The following is a 9789-nucleotide window of genomic DNA, read 5'->3' on the forward strand; positions in this document are numbered from 1 at the left end:
TGTCCCCACCCAAATCTCATCTTGAATTGTAGCTCCCATAATTCCCACATGCCGTGGGAGGTAGGTAATTGAATCATGGGGGCAGGTCTTCTCCCATACTGTTCTCATGGTAGTGAATAAGTCTCACTATATCTGATGGTTTTATAAATGACAGTTCCCCTGCACAAGCTCTCTCGTGTCTACCACCATGTAAGACGTGTCTTTGCTCCTTCTTCACCTTCCACCATGATTGTGAGGCCTCCCCAGCCATGTGGAACTGTGAGTCTGTTAAACCTCCCTTCCTTTATAAATTACCCAGTCTTGGGTATGTCTTTATTAGCAGCAATAGAACAGACTAATACAATATGGTTTATTACTCTAAAGTAAATATATGGTTTATAAATATATAGGAACCTCTGATTCCCAGGAAGGTCTCAGTAGGAACAAAATGGCATTCAAATTAAGTTGAGAAAATTTTTTCCATCACCCAAACTGGAACACAGTGATGCAAACATAGATCACTGCAGCCTCGAACTCCTGGGCTCAAGCTATCCTCCCACCTCAGCCTTCTGAGTAGCTGGGACCATGACTGGCTAATGTTTTTAAAGGTTTTCATAGGGACAGTGTGTTACTTTTTCTTTCTTTTTTTTTCTTTCTTTTAAAAAAAATACGGCCAGGGTCTCGCTATGTTGCCCAGGCTGGTTTCAAGCTCCTGAGCTCAAACAATCATTCTGCCTCAGCCTTCCAAAGTGCTGGGATTACAGGCATGAGTTATCATGTCCAGCCTCACTATTTTTTTTAGATCTCAGATCTTGAACTCTTGGGTTCAAACAAACCTCCCTCCTCCACCTCCCAAGTTGCTGGGATTACAGACATGTGCCACCATGCCTGCCTGGAAATTTTAATATAGAGATTATTTTAAAAGATATGGGCAGAGTGTAGGAAGATCATAGAGATAATGAAACACTCCCAGACTTGTAACCTTTACTATCCATAGACCTAATGAGGCAAGAGAATAAAGCAATTACTAAAGAGAAAAAGCAAGCACTGCGTAGAGGGCCACCTAACAAGAGCAATGACCTTCAGCTGAGTGACAAAGGCAGGTGCACGATGACTACAAAAGTAGAGATCTGGGGGAATAAATTATCTAATCTTACTCTCTTCCCACTCTCTGATCCCTTGCTAGTGCTCCCCAAGGGCCAAACCAAATGAAAGTCAGAAGGCAAGGTTGCCAACAGATTTTATCCACAGAGGTCAGGCTCCTAGGGCACAGAGCAGAGCAAAGATGATGGAGAGGATATATGGTGAGGCACACAAAAGGGATCCAGTTTGATCATGTCACCCTCCCATATAAAATCCTTCATTCTCTATCTTGATTAGAGATAATAGTCCTTGGCTGGGCACAGTGGCTTATGCCTGTAATCCCAACACTTTGGGAAGTTGAGGCGGGCAGATCACTTGAAGTCAGGAGTTCAAGACCAGCCTGGCCAACATGGTGAAACCTCATCTCTACTAAAAATACAAAAATCAGCTGGGCGTGGTGGTGCGTGACTGTAATCTCAGCTATTTAGGAGGCTGAGGCAGGAGAATCACTTGAACCCAGGAGACAGAGGTTGCAGTGAGGCAAGATCACACCACTGCACTCCAGCCTGGGTGACAGAAAGAGACTCTCTCAAAAAAAAAAAAAAAAGAAGACATAATAGTCCCATATTCCTTAGCATAACATAGAAGGCCCTTCATGGTCTGAGTCCCTTTGCCTGGGTCAGCAGGATGCCTGTTATTTCAAACCCTCCCATCCAGCACTACCAAACTATGAACTTTCATAACTCCTCCCTTTGGCATCAGCTCTTGCCTCTGCCAGGCACACAAATCTATACCGTGCCTGACTGATGAGATCCTATTTATCTTTCAAGAGAGCTCAGTGCTCTCATTCTGTGCAGCCTTCCCTAAATCCCCAAAGCAGAAATGGTCACCCCTGTGTAGCAGCTGCACCTTGTGTATGCTCTGGTGCTGCTCTTTTCTTACTATAGTATCATTTTCTTTTTGTCTGTCACCTAACAAATGGTGAGTTCCTAAAAGGAATCATATCATGTTCATCGGACACACTGCCTGATATGAAGCATTGCTAAAGAAGTATTTGATGAATCGACAGTGGCCTTGCCAGCTGGCACTCTTTGTTTTCTCTCTTCTACCTACATTCTTGTCTTCTGCCAACATGATAAATTACCTCAGCCTTGCAAACAAACAAGAACAGTCCGCCAACAGCTAATGTTATAAGTAAAGGACAATCCAAGTGGCAATTAGAAGAAATAGAACTATACAGTCCAGTACTTGCACAGGAGCGAAGTACACTGGTTAAGAGCACTAACTTGAGAATGAGAACTCAACTTGTTAGCTATGAAGTCTTGGCCATGTGACTTAGCCTCTCTAAGCCTTAGTGTCCTCATCCGGAAAACAGTGGTCATAATAGGGCCTACCTTACTGTGAACATTAATGAGAAAATGCACGGTGTTTGGTCCAAAGTAAGTTAACTACTAATAGCTGCAGAATCGGGGACATTTTCTATTCTCTGAATTAAAGAAAGGACTTGAAACTATTGCCAAATCCCATTCCCTGTTGTGTAATCTGGAGGCATGGCCTTTGCTCTCCCTGGATTCTCTGGCAGCACTTTCCAGTTAACGATCGTTTTTGTTGTTGCTGCTGCTACTGATAAACGGACATGTTTAATGACACATTGGTCTTCACAGAGATGACTACAGAGACTTTTAATCTATAATCCAGTAGTATACAACCATGCATCACAGACTAATTAGCCAGATGTAAAATAAACTAGCTTCTTACCACAACTACCCTATAAACATTGCAACTATTCTTTCCAAAATGACCCTAGTCTTACATGAAAACACCTATTGTGGGGAAACCGGAAACCTAGTTATGTGACCAAAACTAAAAATTAAAGGAAAAATTGCAATTCACTGGTGAAAGTTGGTGAAAGCAGAGGAAATTCAGTGCCCTTCACTATGCTACTTTGATGTTACTTGTGTTCTTTTTGTCCCTCTTCTTCAGCCCATCCATGTTAGTTCTCAGTAGGTTTGAATAAGCCATCCGGAACTTATTCACTTCTTTGGAGCTCACCACAATGCTAACCTTCTTTTTCCCATCAGTAGTTCTTAACAGACACCTGTCTGAAGACTCAAAGCCCGCAACAGAACCTTTCACTAGAATGGGTTTGGTTCAACCTCAGTTCTCAAGGAACAAATGGTACCAGGAAAAGTCCGCTGTAAGTGAACCCATTTTAACTGAGAATCAAAACATCATAGTAAATAGTATGGAAAAAAATTAGGTTTGGTCAAAACTTCAACTTGAGAAATAAAACCAGAAATTATAAAAATAAGTTTGCTTTACTGTTCATTTAACTGAGTTAGATTATAATTGGAACTATGTACAAATGGGAACTGCCTAATTGTCTGACAACTTATATTACAGCAAGATAAAACATTCCCCACTTTATACAACATTCTTTACTTCCCATATGACTTTCAAAGCAAGATTACAAGATTGCCCTTTTTAAAAAAATTCACAGTTTTCATTGATTTTGCCAAGTATTTACATCATTCTATTTGAATTTCCTGTCTTGTCATTATGTTTGCCAATTCTCTCTATGTTATTCTTGTATTTCTTACATGATTTAACTCTGCAAGATCTAGACTTGCCAATGGCTTAACAGTTCTCCAGTATTACTTCATCAACTTCAACATTCTTCTTAGTTGCAGGTGATATGGTTTGGCTGTGTCCCCACCCAAATCTCATCTTGAATTGTAACTCCTGCAATTCCCACATGTTGTGGGAGGAACCTGGTGGGAGGTGATTGAATTATGGGGGTGGAGCTTTCCCATGCTGTTCTCATGATGGTGAATGAGTCTCATGAGATCTGATGGTTTTAAAAACAAAGGTTTCCCAGCACAAGCTCTCTCTTTGCCCCCTGCCATCCATGTAAGATGTGACTTGCTTCTCCTTGCCTTTGGCCATGATTCTGAGGCCTCCCCAGCCATGTGAGACTGTAAGCCCATTAAACCTCTTTCTTTTATAAATTGCACAGTTTCAGGTATGTCTTTACCAGCAGTGTGAAAATGGACTAATACAGCAGGATATGTAACTTCTCTTTGCCATTGATTTGCATCGTATGGTCTGCATTATCAGACAATTATCAGAGACTGACCACAAACACATTTGTGAAATACATTTATGGGAATGATATCCAGAGTAGACTGTACTGTCAAACAGTCCTGTTGGATATGTGTTTGAGGAAAAGTAAACTTTTTTTTTTGAAGACAGAGTCTTACTGTGTCACCCAGGCTAGAGTGCAGTGGTGCACTGACTGCTCACTGCAGCCTTGACCTCTCGGGCTCAAGCTGGGACTATAGGCATGCACCACCATGTCCAGCTAATTTTTTCATTTTTTGTAGAAACAAAGTTTTACCATATTTCCCAGGCTGGTCTCAAACTCCTGACGTCAAGTCATCTACCCATTTCGGCCTCCCAAAGTGCTAGGATTACAGGCATGAGCAACTGTACCTGGCCGAAAATAAACTTTTAAGTGGTCAGTTAATTTGTTCACTCAATAAAACTTATTGAGCACCTAATATGTTCCAAGCACTATTCTAGACCATGAGGAAATAGAAGCAAATACAAAGAGATAAAATTCTTGACTCCATGAAATTTATAATCCAGTGTGAGAGGCAGAAAATGAACAATAAAATGTTTTATAGTGATCAGTCTTAAGAAGAACAAGTAAGTTTAAGAGACAAAGGGTGATGGGGGTTAGATAGGATGCTCAGATAAGACTTCTCCTAAGAAATGACTCTTGAAATGTTTTTATTGGAACTTGCATAAAGTGAGGATGTGACCCACATGAATATGTCATAGAACGGTATTGTTTCTGAAAGACAGATCAGTAAGTAGGCCTGAGTCAGGGATGTTAGAACAGTGCTTTCCAATCTTGTTCACACTGTGACACATAGAAGATTATGGTAATGGGCCAGGCACAGTGACTCATGTCTGTAATCCCAACACTTTGGGAGGCCAAGGTGGGGGGATCACTTGAGCTCAGGCATTCAAGACCAATAGGCAACATTGCAAAATCCCATCTCAAAAAAAAAAAAAGAAGATTATGATAATGAAAGAAGACATATGAATAGCAAATGAGCATATGAAAAAATGCTCAACATCACTGATCATTTCAGAAATGCAAATTAAAACTACAGTGAGATATCATCTTATACCAGCCAGAATAGGTATTATTAAAAAGTCAAAAAATAACAGATGGTCAGAACATGGAGAAAAGGGACCACTTATAGACTGTTGGTGAGAATGTAAATTAGTAGTACAACCTCTATGTAAAACAGTATGGGCCGGACGTGGTGGCTCACGCCTGTAATCCCAGCACTTTGGGAGGCTGAGGCAGGCGGATCACCTCAGGTCGAGAGTTCAAGACCAACTTGACCAACATGGAGAAACCCCATCTCTACAAAAAGTACAAAATTAGCCAGGTGTGGTGGCGCATGCTTGTAATCCCAGCTACTTTGGAGGCTGAGGCAGGAGAATCACTTGAACCTGGGAGGCGGAGGTTGCAATGAGCCGAGATTGTGCCATTGCACTCTAGCCTGGGCAACAAGAGCAAAACCCCATCTCAGAAAAAAAAAAAAAATGGAGATTTCATAAAGAACTAAAAATAGAACTACCATTTGATTTTGATCCAGCAATCCCACTACTGGGTATATACCTATAGGAAAATAAATTATTATATCAATGATTTCTGCACTTGTATGTTTATTGCAGCACTATTCACCAACCTAAGTGTCCATAAATAGATAACTGGATAAAGAAAATGTGGTACCTATATATGTGGGTGTGTATGTATGTGTGTGTGTGTGTCTACATGTGTATGTCTATATGTGTGTGTGTATAGATACACAGTTCATGGAATACTACTCAGCCATAAAAAAATAAAATCATGTCTTTTGAAGCAACATGGATGGAACTGGAGGCCATTATCTTTTTTTTCCCCCACATGTTCTAATGGCGGCCATTGTCTTAAGTGAAACAACTCAGAAACAGAAAGTCAAATACTGCATGTCCTCGCTTATAAGTGGGAACTAAATAATGTGTACATATGCGTATTTTTCCATTCTCACACTGCAATAAAGAACTGCCTGAGACTGGGTAATTTATAAAGGAAAGAGGTTTAATTGACTCACAGTTCCACATGGCTCCAGCCAGGGAGGCCTCAGAAAACTTAAAATCATTGCAACAAACACATCCTTCTTCACATGGTGGCAGGAGAGAGAAGAATGAGAGCTGAGCGAAGGGGGAAGCCCCTTATAAAACCATCAGATCTTGTCAGAACTTACTCACTACTACAAGAATAGCATGGGGGCAACCGTTCCCATGATTCAATTACCTCCCATTGAGTCCCTCCCACTACATGTGGGTATTTGGAGAACTACAATTCAGGATGAGATTTGGGCGGAGACACAGCCAAACCATATCAACATGGATATAAAATGTGGAATGATAGACACTGGAGACTTAGAAGGGTGAGGAGTGTCAAAGGGAGGGAGGGTGATGAGAAATTACTTAATAGGTACAATGTACCTCATTTGAGTGATGTTTACACTAAAAGCCCAAGACTTCACCACTAACAATATATGCATGCAACAAAATTACACTTGTATGCCTTAAATTTATACAAATAAAAAAAGAAAAATGATGATAATGTTTGTATTTCACACTAGGATAAGTTAGAAGGAATGTGGTTATCTATGTGAGCACAGGAAAAAATGATCTTTTTATATATTAAAATAAAATTAAGCAAAATATCCATATAAAATTTTAGGAAGAATATTAAATACAGAATGTATAACATACTTCCAAATAAATATTCACAGTTTTTAATTAAAACTTGAGCTTATTTCTGGAAACATAAGTTTTTCTATCATATTTTACACTTGAAATTATATACTTAATTCTTAAGATTTTTTTAACGATGAGCACTTCACATTCGGCAAGTTGGCATGAAAATAATGTAAAACCATTTCATAGTCATTCAAAAATAATCAGAGCACTTGAAATATTTAAATCCAAGTGTGTTTTTTTCCTTTTTTCTCATTGACAAATGTAACATTTAAAGTTTTTTGTGTTATAAGAATTGATTCAAATCCAGTCAAACTTTTTTAAAACAAGTAATTTAGAATAAGACAAAGTTTAGCCATGAACATTGGCTCGCACCTGTAATCCCAATGCCTTGGGAGGTTAAAGTGGGAGGATTGCTTGAGGCCAGGAGTTCAAGACCAGTTTGGTCAACATAGCAAGACTCTAACTCTACAAAAAAATTTAAAAATTAGCCAGGTGTGGTGACATCTGCCTGTGGTCCCAGGTACTCAGGAGGCTGAGGCAGGAGGATCCCTTGAGCTCAGGAGTTCAAGGTCACAGTGAGCTATGATTGCATGACTTCACTCCAGCTTGGGAAATCAGAGTGAGATTGTGTATCAAAAACTAAAAATGAAAATAAATAAGACAACGTTCTAATTAGTAGAAGGGGCTAACTTAGAGCATTCACCCTGCAGGTAGCTTGAATACATTAAAAGTGCATCTTGGCCACAATTAACTACTATATGTGAAGATAGAAATTCCAAGCCACTGTTTTTACAGGACCAACAGGTTCATATATCTGCTGTGCAGTAACAGACTAGTATACCAAGACAGCAAGGTTTGCAATGGAGAAAGAGTTTAACGATCACAGGTGGCTGAGTGAGGAGACAGGAGGGAGCCTCGAATCCAACTCTCCAAGGAGTTCTGGGATGGGGATTTTAAGGGGATTGTGGAGGGCAAATGGCTAGAAAATTAGGGTCATTGACTGGTTAGGAAAAGGGGGTTGAAATCATCAGGATGTAGAAACTGCATTCTTTGGTGAGTCACCTCTTCTTGGAGTCCTTCAGACAAGCTAACATCAATAGTTTTATTTTTGTTTGTCTTGTTTTGTTTATTTTTTATTAAGTTTATTGTAGAAACAGAGTCTCACTATGTTGCTCAGGCTGGCCTCGAACTCCTGGGCTCAAGTGATCCTCCCACTTCTGCCTCCCAAAGTGCTGGATAAAAAAAATGTGGAGGCCAGGCAATGTGGCTTAGGCCAGTCATCCCAGCACTTTGGGAGGCTGATGCAGGAGGATTGCTTGAACTCAGGAGTTCGAGACCAGCCTGGTCAACATGGCAAGACCCTGTCTCTACAAAAAAATACAAAAATTGATCGGGCATGTTGGTGGACGCCTGTGGTACCAGCTACTTGGGGGGCTGAGGTTGGAGGATTGTTTGAGACCAGGGGGTTGAGGCTGCAGTGAGTCATGGTTGCACCACTGCACTCCAGCCTGGGTGACAGAGCGAGACCCTGTCCCTCACCCCCCAAAAAAGAAAATGTTATATATATACATAATACACACACACGCTCACACACCATGGACTACTACTCACAACTGCCAACATTAGGCTGGCCATGGTGGGATTACAGGTATGAGCCAGCATGCCCAGCCTAATGTCAGTAGTTTTATCAGCATGCAGGACACAAAAGAACATCTCAAATGGAAAATTTAACATTTCAGAGTGCTCAAGTTGTTGTCTATGGAGAGGTTAAGGGGAACTATCATCTTGTGACAGGTCTACATGATTCTGGGGCAACAGACAATCATGAGGAAGTAGGTAAGAGATCAAGCTGACCTAATGATTAATGCTAAATGTGCTGCAAGCTTGGTTTGTTTTTGCTTCTTCCCTGATTAATTTTACAAAATTTATAGGGACAATTTTACAGACTGAAGTTGCACCTACCAGGAAGCCCTACCTACTCCCTGCCACCTCCAACACCCTACCCACCATCACCACCTTAGGCACCTATCATAGCAACTTCACCAACAAGTCCACAACCCCTGTCCACAGTGGGGAATGACATGCTCTGTAAATCCTCCTAAAGTAGATGCCTAGGTGGTTCAGCATCTTTTTGACAAAGCTCAAAGCAACCCAGGGAAGTATCAAATGCAGGACTCACACATCACGCTGCCGCCAAAAGGGGATGATATAGAGCATCCTGTCCGAAATGCTGCTCTAGGTCCCAGATTGCTGCCCAGGCACTCAGCCCATGGACACACCTTGCCAATCTGAGGGCTGAGGGGATCAATTTCTCCAGCACAGTGGGTAGGAAGCTCTGTGTTAGAAGACCTATAAGAAGAAAATGTGACAGAGGAGAAGGAGGAGGGCTGTATTAGTCTATGTTCACGCTGGTAATAAAGACATATCAGATACTGGGTAATTTAGAAAAAAAAAGAAGTTTAATGGACTCACAGTTCTACCTGGCTGGGGAGGCTTCACAATCATGGCAGAAGGCGAAAGAGGAGCAAAGTCACATCTTACATTTTGGTAGACAAAGAGGGCATGTACAGGGGAACTCCCCTTTATAAAACCATCAGATCTCGTGAGACTTATTCACTATCACAAGGACAGCATGAGAAAGACCCACCCCCATGATTCAATTACCTCCCACCGGTCCCACCCACAACACATGAGAATTATGGGAGCTATAATTTAAGATGAGATTTGAGTGGGGACACAGCCAAACCATATCAAGGGCAAAAGAGTAAAAGGAAATAAATAAAAATAGAAAAGCACTGAATATTTTTGTATTATGATGAGTTCCTTTTCCTACAGTATTATAACTTTAGAGATTCAGATAATAAATCCCCAGATAAAGAAGTCTCTTTGTGATTA

The 9789-nt window shown here is 40.8% G+C and overlaps 1 pseudogene; it reads right to left on the bottom strand.

The window, feature by feature from the left end:
* Window positions 3017-3219, bottom strand: SRP14P4 (SRP14 pseudogene 4; annotated as a pseudogene).

This window comes from Homo sapiens, chromosome 1 (assembly GCF_000001405.40).
Source record: "Homo sapiens chromosome 1, GRCh38.p14 Primary Assembly".
NCBI lineage: Eukaryota > Metazoa > Chordata > Mammalia > Primates > Hominidae > Homo > Homo sapiens.